The sequence below is a fragment of the Homo sapiens genome, chromosome 17 (genome assembly GCF_000001405.40).
Source record: "Homo sapiens chromosome 17, GRCh38.p14 Primary Assembly".
Taxonomy (NCBI): domain Eukaryota; kingdom Metazoa; phylum Chordata; class Mammalia; order Primates; family Hominidae; genus Homo; species Homo sapiens.
In genome coordinates, this window is record NC_000017.11 from 66382536 (window position 1) to 66397100 (window position 14565).

The 14565-nt window shown below is 43.7% G+C and overlaps 1 protein-coding gene across 8 annotated transcripts in view; it reads left to right on the forward strand.

Moving 5' to 3' along the window:
• Positions 1 to 14565, forward strand: part of PRKCA (protein kinase C alpha) — a 508131-nt gene that overhangs the window by 79923 nt on the left and 413643 nt on the right. The window lies entirely within an intron of this gene.

Sequence of the window (14565 nt, forward strand, 5' to 3'; positions counted from 1 at the left end):
AGTGATTTGCCTGCCTCAGCCTCCCAAAGTGCTGGGATTACAGCAGGCCACTGCGCCCAGCTGCCATTTATTTTTATTTTTATAAAAATATGTGTAATAATAAGACAGAAAAAATAGGGAGTAGACAAAAGAAGTAACTTAAACATAGTGGTTCTCAATCAGGGATGATTTTGCTTCCCAGGAGACACCTGACAGTGTCTGGAGACATTTTTTATTGTTATACTGGGGCTGGAGGGCTGCTACTGGCGTCTAGTGGGTAGAGGTTAGGGATGCTGCTCAACATCCTGTATGTACTGGACAGACACCCCCCCATTACCACCAACAAGAAAGAGTGATCCAGCCCAAAATGCCAGTAGTGCCAAGGCTGAGAAATTCTGCAAGAATCCACCCCTAACACATAATAATCCCACCCCTAATTGCGTTATGATGGTGTATTTTCTTTCATTATTTTATTTCCACATTATACGTAACTGTGTACTTAGTTTTTTTGTATCTGGTTCTCTTCATTGAGCATTATATCCTAACAGAGTAATTTTGTAATTTTCAAAATTTTTAAAATTCACACATTTCTCTCCTATACTACATATATTCTAATTTACTGCTGTTGTGAATAACCTGTAATGAATAACTTTGTGTATTTGGCTTTTCTTTTTCTTTTAATTTCTAGTTATTTCTTAAGGGTAGTATTTGTAAGTTGTTCATATTATTTTTCTAAGTGGTGAATTTTTTATGATTCTCGACAGATGTTTCCAAGTTGCTTTCCAAAGGCATGGTACTAATTTCAGTGTCATCAACAATGTATAGACTTTCTGTTTGCTTGTGTTTTTGCCTGCATAAAGCATAAAGTTACTGGGGAAAAGCCTATTTTTTTTTTTGGCTAAGTCAATGGGCAAAAAGTAGTATGTGTTTGATTAGTAATGCTTTTGTGTGGGAGAAACACTGTTCTGATCATTGTCGTCACAACCCTCAGAAGTCATGATAAAACCATCTGTTTCTGTTTAACAAAGGCTCTGAGAGTTATTCTAGGTCAGTGGAATGATGCCTTTCTGTACTTACTGCGAAGAAGTTTATTAAGATAAATTGCGATAGTTTCAACTTTCTTGGAGTACTTTTAAAAGAGCAAGATCCACTCAGATCATCATGGAAAATCCTGTCAAACTCTAAGAAAATTGTCTAGGAGGCCGAAGTGGGTGGATCACTTGAGGTCAGGAGTTCAAAACCAGCTAGGACAACATGGTGAAACCCCATCTCTACTAAAAATACAAAAATTAGCCGGGTGTGGTGATGTACGCCTGTAATCCCAGCCACTTGGGAGGCTGAGGCAGAATAGCTTGAACCTGGGAGGCAGAGGTTGTAGTGAGCCGAGATGGTGCCACTTCATTCCAGCCTGGGTGAAAGAACAAGACTCTGTCTCAAAAAAAAAAAAATTGTTTTTGATGAAGCCATTAATGTTATAGTTAAAATATATTTAGGTATGCTAGGACTCCATTGCACTTTCCTATTTTTTATGAGTTATTTGTGTATTTAATGGGGCACCTAGCACTATGACATTTCATATATGTAGAATATATATATATGCTTGACACACGGAATGCTCAGTGAAAATGTATTAAATATGAACGAACAAACTTCTGCCCGCACTTTAGGGCCAAGAGTATAATTTTCTGCTGTAATGATGACAGAGAGCTATAGTGGAGTGTGACCTTTTGATGTACTGCTGGTCCTGATTATAGTTTACTTGACTTTGAAGGCTTGATCAGGAATAAAACCTCCAATTATATCACTTTTTCAGTGGCAAACCTGTTTTATGGAGTAGTGATTTGTCTTGCAACAGGGCTTTGGAAACTCATTAAAACCAGGGATTTTCTCGCACATTTCCTAAGAGAATTACAAATATGAAAAGCTGTGGATAAAAATTATCTGATTTTTGAAGATTTGCTCATTTTTAGAATAAAACGTTTTCTTATATTTTCATATCATGTTTTCTAAATTTTTATTCTTTCTTGAGGGAACCATTCCAAGTTGTACAAGTACGTTTCTTTAAATATTTGCATTTGACAATGACTCCCTTCTCTGGTTCTTCTAACACCTTAAATGACTTTTTTTTTTTTGAGACGGAGTCTCGCTCTGTCGCCCAGGCTGGAGTGTAGTGGTGCCATCTCGGCTCACTGCAAGCTCCACCTCCCGTGTTTATGCCATTCTCCTGCCTCAGCCTCCCAAGTAGCTGGGACTACAGGTGCCCGTCACCACACCTGGCTAATTTTTTTTATATTTTTAGTAGAGACGGGGTTTCACTGTGTTAGCCAGGATGGTCTCAATCTCCTGACCTCGTGATCCGCCCCCCTCAGCCTCCCAAAGTGCTGGGATTACAGGTGTGAGCCACTGCACCTGGCTGACTGTTTTAATTACTAGTATGTGTCCGTAAATGCCTGAGCAGGGGTTTTGAGAACTGTGCCTTCCTCTTCTTTGACTTTTAAAACTGATTTCTTGTGCAGTATTATCTTTCTGAATTATGTAGCAATTTTGCTTTACCCAGGATTAGGTGTGCTCCTCTGGGTTGGGTGGTTGTGTAGTACATCATGTGATCAGACAGCAGGCATGGACCAGGACGGTCCCTGGCAGGCACTGTGTGGGGCTCAACTCCTTCCTTCCCTTGTCTTACCTTACTCACTGGAGCATTTGTTGCTTTCTCTCCTCTCAGCCCATCAACCTAGAGTTGAGTAGGAAAGAGTGCATTGAATCAAGTATTTAAATTGCTCTGATGGTTTTGTATGTGCTATAGAAGGAATTCGAAGACAGTTTACTTTTTGTCATTTTCATGGGAATCAAGAACCTCATTTAATCAGTAGCCTGGTATTAGTTCTAAATCATCCACACATAGATGTGGGGTGATTTTGGTCATGTTATTTTATAGGGCATTGCCCTTCTCCTCCAGCCAAAATATTTGTAATACAAAGCCCATGATTCTGTCCTCTCTCTGTCTCTGGTTTCATTGATAAACTTGTAATATTTTTTATAAAAACTCTTTTAAAAATTAAAAATAGATCCTGGTATGGTGGCTCACACATGGAATCCCAGCACTTTGAGAGGCCGTGGCCAGAGGATTGCTTGAGCCCAGGAGTTTTAGGCCAGCCTGGCCAACACAGCGAGACTCTTCCTGGGCAACATAGACGCTGCCTCTACAAAATAAAAATAATACTTGATAGAAAATTCAAACAGATGGAAGGGCACAATTATTTTTTTTCCGAGACGGCATCTTGCTGTGTTGCCTAGGCTGCGTGGCGTGATCTCAGCTCACTGCAACTTCTGCCTCCTGGGGTCAAGCAATTCTCCTGCCTCAGCCTCCCAAGTAGCTGGGATTACAGGCACTCACCACCACACCCAGCTAATTTTTTGTGTTTTTTAGTAGAGATGGGGTTTTGCCATGTTGGCCAGACTGGTCTTGAACTCCTGACCTCAGGCGATCCGCCCACCTCGGCCTCCCAAAGTGCTGGGATTACAGGTGAGAGCCACCGCGCCCAGCCAGGCACAGTTATTTTTAAGTTTCTTTTCCCATGCTATAGGTTCATTTTGCAGATGTAACCGCTTTTGAAGTCTCGTTGTGTCGTTTAAGAACTGCTTTTGAGGTATCTCTGCCCTACATTATATCATCCTACAGTTCTGAGACTTGCTTTTTTCATTAACAGTATAGATCTTGGACCTCTTTCACCATCAGCACAGAGACATAACTTATTTTGCAATTGTTCAGTAGTGCTTCGTTGTGTGGATGTGCCAAAATTTATTTAAGCAGAGCCCAGTTGATGGGCATTTAAGTAAAAAACATGCCGTGTTTTGCCTTTTTAAAACAAAGCTGCAGTGAATATCCTTTGACTGCCTGGATTTGAATCTTGGCTCCAGCAGTTGCCAGTTCGTCGACTCTGAGCAAGTTGCTTTATCTCTCATGTCTGCAGGTTTCCCCTCTGTAAAATGGGAATATTAATAATATATGATGGGTATGTAGAATAAAATAGCCAGTGCATATGATACCCAGAATAATGCCTGGGACACAGTGAGTGATCAGTGATCATTAGCTCTGTATGGCTGCCTGTGCCTTTGCACACTTGAGAGTAAGTCAGTCAAATAAATTCCTAAATGCTGAATTGCTGGGCTGCTGGTTCAAAAAATGTACAATTCAAATTTTGGTGGATACTCCCTGTTGCCCTACACACATTATACCAAGTTATTCTTCCACTAGTAATTAAACTTTTAACCTCTAAAAGCCTTTTTTTTTTCTTTTAATGTAAGGCTTGAAAGCAAGAACATTCCTTCATTACTTCCTCCTACTTATCTTTACTCTTGGCCTTACTACGTCATGACACATCTTATGAAATACTGGTGTGATAATAAGCACTTTGTGCAGCCCTACCATGGAAGAATTGGTGAAAATGTAAAGGTTCTCAGTGGTCTTCAGACTTGTGTTTGAGTTTCTCTCTTGCAACAAGGTGCCTGACTAAGAGAGTAAAGGTTACTTCCTGCATGTTTAATGGGGCTTGATATTTGCATATGGGCAGGTACATCCTGCTTAATGAACAGTGTTGGGAGCCATGTGGATGATTGACATCAACTTGTAGTACAACAGGAAAACATTCCTAGATTAATGTTCCTTTTCACTGGGTAGGGCTAGAGGGCAACTGCAACGAGTGAAATGCTAGGCTGCAGGTAGATGGCTTGTCTTGAGCTATGAATAATATGTTTGGCAGCAGCATGGGCAGAAAAGTTGAGATTTCTGGATACAGGACCTGGTGAAGCAGGTTCTGTCACAGGGTCAGATCACCTCTAACACCTGGCCATCCCCAGTGCAAAGGAAAACTAGGAGAGAGAGAAGTGAGTATAAGAGGCAGCTGAGGGACTCTTGACAAAGTTGAGAAGGATCTGGTGTCCTGGGAGAGCTCCTGTCTTCTGGAATTAGTGATGCATCTTTTGTGGAGGCTCCTGATGGCTCAGTAAAAGGAGCCTTTCATCTTGCCCTTCCTACAGGGCTGAGAGGGGAGGGGTTCTTGGGACAAGTGGCTTTTAGCAGAGAACAATAGAAGCCGTAGGCTGGGCTGTCACTTGCTTTGCTACTTCTTAGTTTGTAATCATCCTCTGTGTGTCCCTGAAAGTCCCCTGGTTCTCTCTAAACTGTGGGGCTCCAACTGAATTCCTGTCTGCTCCCCAGGGGTGCCCCGCAGCAGTTAGAGCAGCTTGTTGAGAAGGAGCCGCAGGGGTAGGGCAGAGGTGGACCGGAAGCCGGAGGAGGCCACTTGACATGGCGATTGGAGCCCTCCCAGCCTGTGCTTTAGACCTGCCAGATTCCTACCCACCTCACCTTGGAGTGGGACATTTCTTTTCACAGTGCCCAGGCTTAACTATGCTGTCCCCGGGTCCATTCCCAACTGTTCCTATTCAAGATGTCTAGACCTTTGTTCCCTGCCTTGGCATTTTCCTTTCCTGGTGTGGAGTATCTCTTTTTGAAATAGCTATCTCAGCTTCAACATAGCAGAGCGGAAAACCTATGTCTGGGCTTGAGGCAGGGGGAGGAAACCGTAGATAGATCCAGGAATGGCCAAAGTAAGCAGAGATCCGTGAGCCTGGACGTGTCATGACATAACAAGGATATGTGGGTGGGAGGGGCAGGGATGACATCTTTAGCTTTCTGTGAAATCATAGACATGCTTTCATTATTTTGTAGAATCAAATAATTTTGAAGATAGAGATATCTGAGTCCATCGATACTTACCTCTTTTTTTTTTTCTTTGGGACGGAGTTTTGCTCTTCTTGCCCAGACTGGAGTGTAATGGCGCCATCTCAGCTCACTGCAACCTCCGCCTCCCAGGTTCAAGCGATTCTCTTGCTTCAGCTTCCCAAGTAGCTGGGATTACAGGTGTGCACCACCACATCTGGCTGATTTTGTGTTTTTAGTAGAGACGGGATTTCACCATGTTGATTAGGCTGGTCTCGAACTCTTGACCTCAAGTGATCCACCCGCCTTAGCCTCCCAAAGTGCTTAGGATTACAGGCATGAGCCACTGTGCCCAGCCGATACTTAGCTCTTATTGGCCATAGTTCTCTTGGAGAATTTGGGGAAAAGTATGGGCCTCTCCACACCATAAGTATACATGATGTACTTACCAAACACGTGCATGCAAGTTTAGGGGTTCACAGGCCCTGGAGGTTTGTCTGCACATCTGCACTGTGGGGCAGCTGCACCTTCCTATACACAAAGACCCAGGGTCGTGGAGAGACGGCACTTGTGTGGGTCACAGAGTTGGAGACAGTGTACCAGAAGTCATTGGTCCGCAGAGCCGTGTCTTGCATTTTATACTCCAGTACGTTGCTTCGGTGGGAAGGGTGACCTCATTTTTTGTTTAATTCGAAGACCTCACTGGGAAAGAAACACATAGAGATGTGGAAGGAAAAAGAAAAAGCTGTGGGAAATCGTGAATTCGTGGACATTGATGGTGAAAGGTTCATTTCAACCCTTGATGGGAACATCGTGATTCTGTTTAAGAAACAGCATCATGTATATGCCTTTCTAATAAAACGGCGCGGCACCTTCCCACGCAACTTGCAGCCACGAGGTTAACCAGAGATAAACGTGGCTTTCCTTTTCCTTACATCTTCCTGCAACACCCTTCACAATAGCCCACACCAAGAGAGTTCTTAGGGTAAATATCTGTGGCGTTAAATTTCACTTTAATACAGAAAGGCTGGCCTTGAAGGGGAGGGAAGAGAGGAGCACGACTCACTTGGGCCTCCCAGAGGCAGGCTTGAGGACCTCTCCTGCAGCGTAGTGGATGGGGAGGAACAGCACGCGGGGTTCAGGCTGACCGCAGCTAGACTCCTGGGGGGTCTCTAGCTCTGTGACCAGAGTGGCTCTGCCTCAGTAGCCTCCCCTGCATAAGGACACCTTTGCAGGGATATCGTAAGGAATGGAGAGACTGTATTGAAAAATATGCCGGAAGTATCTGGTTTCTATGGGGCCCTCAGATGATGGCCAGCATCGTCTTCAACAACATCTTTCATTGTCATCATCATTGCTGCCATCGTTGTCCTGGGCCAGGATGGTTGGCAGTGAGGGGGTCTGGCATGCCCATCGTGCTCTGTGGTGCTCTGGTGCTGTTTGAAACATGCGACTGGTTCTTTTAGAGATTGGCTGAGGAGCATCACCTTTTGTGAACCATGCTGATCAAGTTCATCTATTGTTTGATGTTGGTTGAGAAAATCATTGATCCTAACATTTCATTCTTACACATAGCCTTAATGTTCTTTTTAAGAAAGAGATAGAAGGGCTTTGCCCATGCAAAATGCACACGAATAATGGCTTACCCACTTGCAAATAATCCATGTGAAAATAAGTTGCTTGGAATAACATAAAATCATGAAGAGGCCGGGCGCAGTGGCTCACGCCTGTAATCCCAGCACTTTGGGAGGCCAAGGCGGGTGGATCACCTGAGGTTGGGAGTTCCAGACCAGCCTGGCCAACATGGTGAAACCCCGTCTCTACTAAAAATACAAAATTAGCCAGGTGTGATGGCGCATGCCTGTAATCCCAGCTACTCGGAGGCTGAGGCAGGAGAATCGCTTGAACCCAGTAGGTGGAGGGTGCAGTGACCTGAGATTACATCCTTGTACTCTAGCCTGAGCAATAAGAGTGAAACTCAGTCTCAAAAAAGAAAAAAAAAATCATGAAGAGTGGACCTTTTTGCAATTTATATATATGTTTTCCTATATTCTGCGATGCTTATAATCATGATGTAAACTAATCCTTCTTTGGCTGCAATAGTCAAAATATAGTTATAGGAAATAATATTGAGAAGAAAAATATATTCCTGAGCTAACAAAAAGCCATATAGGAAAGAAATGAAGTGTGTACAGTGGGCTCTCGCTCAGCTTTTTGTTTTTTAAGAAACACTCCATTTTAAAGAGAAAGGCCCAGCCATTTCCACAGATGTGTTTCTCTCTCTGAGCTGTCAGTAGCATCTGCGGTTATTTTCTGGAAAATGGAGAGGAGATGCCATGAACTTGGATTTCAGAGTTCCCCTCTGATTATCAAATTGACCCTCTTGGTGATGAATCCCACCATTGGTTCCCAAAAGGTCATACCTTAGTCACTTTTTAATTATGTGACCCCCCTGGGGTGCACAAAAGGAGCTTCATGGGGACTTCATGGGCCTCTCCACTGTCTGCAACTTGAAGCCTGATTTGCAAAGCCATCGGAAGAGAATTCCCTATGGGGTGAGCAGCCATAGTTGGCAAACAGCTCCACCACCACAGCCTTGGAGAGGGAGGGCGGTGCAGACTGACCCATCCAACCAAGCCAGGAGTCAACGCTGGGGCCATCAGCATGCGAAGCAAAGGAACCAAGTAGCAGAGGAAACTCAGCAACCCCAAAGAGCTGCTGAGAAGAAATCAGACCCTCCTGAAGACTTCTGGTGCAGTCCACTGCTGGTGTAAAGAGAGATTTTCCATTTTGACAGATCCCATGGACTCATCTTCAGCAAACCATTGGGCAGGGAATCAAAAGTCATCATAAAGACCTCCGGGTATTTTTCTACATCAGTCCCCTGCGTGCTGCGAGTCCTGAAATGGAGCTTGGAGAGCAGCGGGTGGGAGGAGAAGGTTGTCGTCCCTACTGTTTTTGCTTGGATTGTTTCACCCTGTCCCCACACGTGGACAGATTCAGCCGGGTGCTTCAAGACATCATTCAACTTGCATATACTTTGTTCGTTTATTACACAAATATTTACTGGTTGTGATGTGATCTTTGAGTGCTCCTTGGTTCCCCCTTCCTCCTCCTCCAAGAAAAGATGGATGTTCCTCTCCTTCCTTACACAGCTCCTCCTCACCTCCCATCCAAATGCCTTATGGCATCTCCAGTGGTGTCATCTGCTCCACATTGGCCAAGGGTCGGTAGGGTCAGGACAGAGGCCTGTTCATCACTTCATCTGCAGCACCTACCACAGTGCCTGGAGGTGGAAGCTTAAACACTTATTGGATAAGAAGTTTCCGTAGTCCTCTTACTCAACCACTAGATGGTCACTTAGTAGCCAAAACCAAAACCAAAAAACAACAGTTTTTTACTTTATTGGACAAGCACTGATTGAGCCCCTTCTGTTTGTTTTTTCACTTCAAAATTATTTTCTTTCGGAAACTTTCAAACAGAAAAGTTGAAAGTACAGAGCAATGAACACTTGGGTATTCCTCTGTCTGGATCCAGCAACTGTTAACAACTCGGCACACCCACTCTGTCTATCTCCCTCCCTCCCCTGTGTGCACACACACATGTGCACAGACACAGCCTCCTCTTGCGCTAGATCATCGGAAAGTAGGCACCCCAACCCTAAATATTTCAGTCTTAGGAATAAGATACGCCATTAGAAACTGTGGTTACAGGCCGGGCACAGTGGCTCACGCCTGTAATCCCAGCACTTTGGGAGGCCGAGGCTGGCAGATCACAGGGTCAGGAGATCGAGACCATCCTGGCTGACACGGTGAAACCCCGTGTCTACTAAAAATACAAAAAATTAGCCGGGTGTGATGGCGAGCGCCTGTAGTCCCAGCTACGCAGGAGGCTGAGGCAGGAGAATGGTGTGAACCCGGGAGGCGGAGCTTGCAGTGAGCCGAGGTCATGCCACTGCACTCCAGCCTGGGCGACAGAGCAAGACTGTGTCTCAACAACAACAAAAAAAAAAATGTGGTTACAGAGGACTACGTGCTTTGGGAGTACAGAGTGGGAAAAGTTACTTTCCAAAAAAAATGGAAACAATTAGAAATGGTTTCTTTGAGAAGGTAACACGTATGCTGTGCCATTTGCATAGATACCGGTTTACAGTGTTTGGGTCTAAAACTTTAACAAAAGGGAAAAGATAACAGTCTTTCAAAAAGCTTACTATCTCCTCAAAAAACTCATTCCCCTTTACAGTATTTGGAGGTTTGATTTTTATGATTCCTCTGTGGTTTTGTAATAACCACACTTATTATTTCCTTAGCTTCTCGGGCTGTCATTGAAAAAGTGCCTTTAATTTTGCTTGCATTTACTAGTAAGATTTATTCATGTGCAGAGGGGCCGTGTAGACCAGTGAGGTGGTGTTTAGTCAGCTGCATCCGCCTTGCTGTGCGAAATGCTGGTGAAAGCTCAGTGACTTGGAGCAACACCAAAATTCAATTTTTGCATTTTAATAATAGCTTAATTTTGTGATTATGCTTAACAATTCTATACATCCCTAAATAAAAGAAAGTATAGGCCATTCTAAGCAGTCAGAACTTCAGCTTTTTCTACCATATAATGGAGGGTTTTGCTAAATTTAAAAATGTGTCCTTGAAGCTGAAAGGCCACCTCTGAGGCACTCTGGGGAGAGTGTTCGCTTTCCAACAGTCGGGAAGCAAGCAAATGGCACACACCCTAGACCAGTGAGAGAAAGGCACTTGCAGGCCTGTTAGGCATTTTGTTGGCTAAATAGAGGGGAAATGATGGAAAACAAATACTGAATATTGGTTTGGGGAGGGAATGACAACAGCTTGTGTGAAACGGAGGTGATTTTAAACATAAGCCAGTGGGTTTCAGAGCACAGGCTATGGTGGGAAGTGGTGGGGAGGGGGAAGCTTAGCAAATCTGGGTATTGGTTTTGCCTGTTTTTAAACCCCCTTTGGAGTCTAGTAAGGTTAACCACTCTGGTTAGTTCAGCGTTCTAACAGGTGACTTTACATTGGAGGAAGATGTTCAGAAGGCGTGGAAGACACATCTTCGAGCAGCCCCAGCTTCTGATGATTTTGTTCATCTGGGTTGCAGACCCAATCTGTGTCCCAGGGACTGGGACTGGCCTTCATTACCTTATTGACATGCTTCTCCCGGACACACACACACACATCACATTTGCAGCCATCTCAATTTAGTAGAGGAATTACACATAACCAAAACACTCCCCAAATGTGTGCTGGAGAACAGCTCGGAGGGATGGGACGGCCTGTCGTTTCCTGACGTTGACTGACTTGAGTGCAAGACCCCAGAGCCTGGGTGTGTGCAGAGGGCGGATAGCACATGGGTCCCTGCAGGAGGCCTCTCGGCCTTCTTCCATGTGTGTGCACGTGTGTGTGTGTGTGTGTGTGTGTGCGCCGTCAAATGTTGGAGCTTCTGGGGACCACCCCAGGAACCCTCTGGACAGGGGTGTCTAGCCCAGGCCTGAGTGCAGCGCCCTCCCTGAGGGTGAGGGTTGGCTTTTAAAAGAGGATACCTTTGGCTGGGCGTGGTGGCTCACTTCTGTAATTCCAGCACTTTCGGAAGCCAACGTGGGCAGATTACTTGAGGTCAGGAGTTTGAGACCAGCCTGGCCAACATGGTGAAAGCCCATCTCTACTAAAAATCCAAAAATTGGCCCGGGCATGGTGGCAGACGCCTGTAATCCCACCTACTCGGGAGACTGAGGCACGAGAATCGCTCGAACCTGGGAGGCGGAGGTTGCAGTGAACTGAGATCACACCACCCCATTCCAGTCTGGGTGACAGACTGAGACTGTCTCAAAAAAAAAGAAAGAGTGACACATGAAATAAGGGGCAAGAGGTTCTGAGGGAGAAGCCTTAGAAAAGGCAGCTCTGTTCTTCCTAGAGGAGTCTTAGTTTAGCATTTTACCACAAAGAAATGTCTTTTTTTTGAAAGCAGAGGCCCACAGAAGCTGTGACATGGCTAAGCTTAGCTGTCCCAGGCCAGGATCGGAACTGGGTGCTCATCTCACACCTCCACACCCAGCACTAGCCCAAGGTGGGACCCATGAGGTGTGCTTGGGCACAGTTAGGGAGAAAGTCAGGATGGATTGGCAGGGGAAGATTCACTTCCGAAGTATTGGCTTAGCAGAGGAGCTGGCTCACTGGGGGATGAGACTCACCGATGGCAGTGTGGTTATTTATGTATAATCTTCACTCATCATTTATTCCCTAATCACGACATCGGGCACACCTGCTGGGTTCTAGGTGCTGAGTATTTGACAGTGGATAGGACAGTGAAATCCTGTTGTAAAGGGGCTTTTCTTCTGTAGTATTGGGGCGGATGGGACCCATAATAAGTAAACCCCATGATATATTTAGGCTTTGTGTCCCCACCCAAATCTCATCTTGAATTGTAATCCCCATAATCCCTATGTATCAAGGGAGAGACATAGTGGAGGTAGTTGAATCACTGGGGCAGGTTCCCCCATGCTGTTCTTGTGATAGTGAGTTCTCACGAGATCTGATGGTTCTATATAAGGGGCTCTTTCCCCCTGCTGGGCTCTTCTCCTTCCTGCTGCCTTGTGAAGAAGGTGCCTTGCCTCCCCTTCGCCTTCTGCCATGATTGTAAGTTTCCTGAGGCCTCCCCAGCCATGCTGAACTGTGGGTCGGTTAAACTGCTTTAGTTTATAAATTACCCTGGAAAGTCTCCCACTGGGAAAAATAATTGGAACAGGCAGCATGACTATTTTTAGCATTATTTCAATATGGGTTTAAACTTTTTTTTAAATTGAATATTGTAACTATTAAGTTTAAACCTAAGGATATAGTTGCTAAGTATAGTTCTTCTCTCACTATGATTTAAATTATGTTATAAAGAACTGGCAGTTCTTTATAGCAGTCTGAAAATGGACTAATACACCCCACAAACCAACAGGACCGTTTCAGATGGTGATGTGAACTCTAAAGAAGATAAACAATGTGATGATGGCTTAGAACAGCAGAGTGGAATGGAGATCCAATGCAAGATGTGCAATTTTAAATATTCTAGTAGCCACATTTTGAAAAGTAAAGAGTGAGGGAAACTAACTTAATGTAACTTATAACCGGTATGTTCATAATGTTACCATTATAATATATATAAATAATTGAGATATTTTGCATTTTCTTTGCATTAAGTCTTCTAAATCTGGTGTGTATTTTATACTTAGAGCACACCTCAACTTGGATTAACCACATTTCACATACTCAGTAGGCACACTTGGCTAGTGGCTTTGGCTAGCACAGACTTAGTGCTTGGGGGCGGTGGTACAGGTCCACTTTAGATTGCATGGTTATCTTTAAGAAAAGTCCTGTTAACTAAGCACAAGGAACAGTTCCTACCACTGATCTATGTTGTGTTTTGTTTGCTGCTAATGTGCTCATACATCAAGGTAAATTATTATTTTAATCCAGATTTCAGCTGATTTTTTAACAGCAGTTTTGCTGTGTGCACGCTGAATGGGATTCTCCAAGGACAGGCAATGAGAAATCCTTCAACATTATAGGAGGAGACGGTGGAGAGAGATCCTTATAGTCTTTGAGAGAAGGCTTTGGGGTTTCCAGGGCCTACATTTTGTCAGAGATCTTCTTTCCTGTACAGGAAAGTAGGTGTTGCAGGTTCCTTCTTTTTCACTCTTTCCTTAATTATGGGAAGGAATTCCACCAACATTGATGTTTAACCTGGAAAGTCTCCCACTAGGGAAAATAATTGGCACAGGCAGCATGTCTGTTTTTAGCATTATTTCAATATGGGTTTAACTGTTTTTTTTTTTTAATTGAATATTGTAACTATTAAGTTTAAAGCTAAGGATATGGTTGCTAAGTATGGTTCTTCTCTCACCTACTCAGTCTTTGGGTGGGTGAAATGCTACTTGTTGAATGAAATTAGAATAATTTCCATCTGAGTTTTTCAGGTTCAGCTGCAAATGCAGGAGTTGGTTTAGAGTCAGTTTATGAAGGAAGTTTTGGAAAACATTAGAGTATTTTGTGTGTGTGAAAATTAGACTTGTGGGAAGGAGTGTGGTAAAAACTGCTAGCAAACACTAGGCAAAATTTTTCTAAAAATCATTTGCCTTTTCCTTCACGTGTAAAAGTCATATATGTTCTTTGGAGCCAATTTGAAAGAGAATAAATCATCCATAATGCCATATCTTTACAGTCTTTTTTTTCCTTGTACCTTTAGATGTGTATTTGGTAATGTAGTTTTTACATAGTTTTATGCTGCTTTTTACACTTGTCATGTGTATTTTCACATTTTCTTATTTTTTCAAGAATTTAGCTTTTAAATGGCTGTGTAATATTTTTCCTTGTGAATGTTCTGTCATTCATTCTCTCTCTTTTTTTTTTTTTTCGTGACAGAGTCTCGCTCTGTTGCCCAGACTGGAGTACAGTGGCGCGATCTCCGCTCACTGCAACCTCTGCCTTCTGGGTTCAAGTGATTCTCCTGCCTCAGCCTCCAAAGTAGCTGAGATTACAGGCACCCGCCACCATGCCTCGCCCTGTCATTAATTTAATCTTTAATTCACCCTCTATTGTTGTTTTTTATTTTTCATTATTATAAGTAATGCTGCCATGAATACCTTTCTACATACATATTTATATGAATATCTAATTATTGCAGTAAAAACTAGTAGAAGCAATCATTCAGTCAAACAATCAAGACTTTTTTTTTTTTTTTTTTTTTTTTTTGAGACAGAGTCTGTCTCTGTCACCCGGGCTGGAGTGTGGTGGCACAATCTTGGCTCACTGTAACCTCTGCCTCCCAGGTTCAAGCGATTCTCCTGCCTCAGCCTCCCGAGTAGCTGG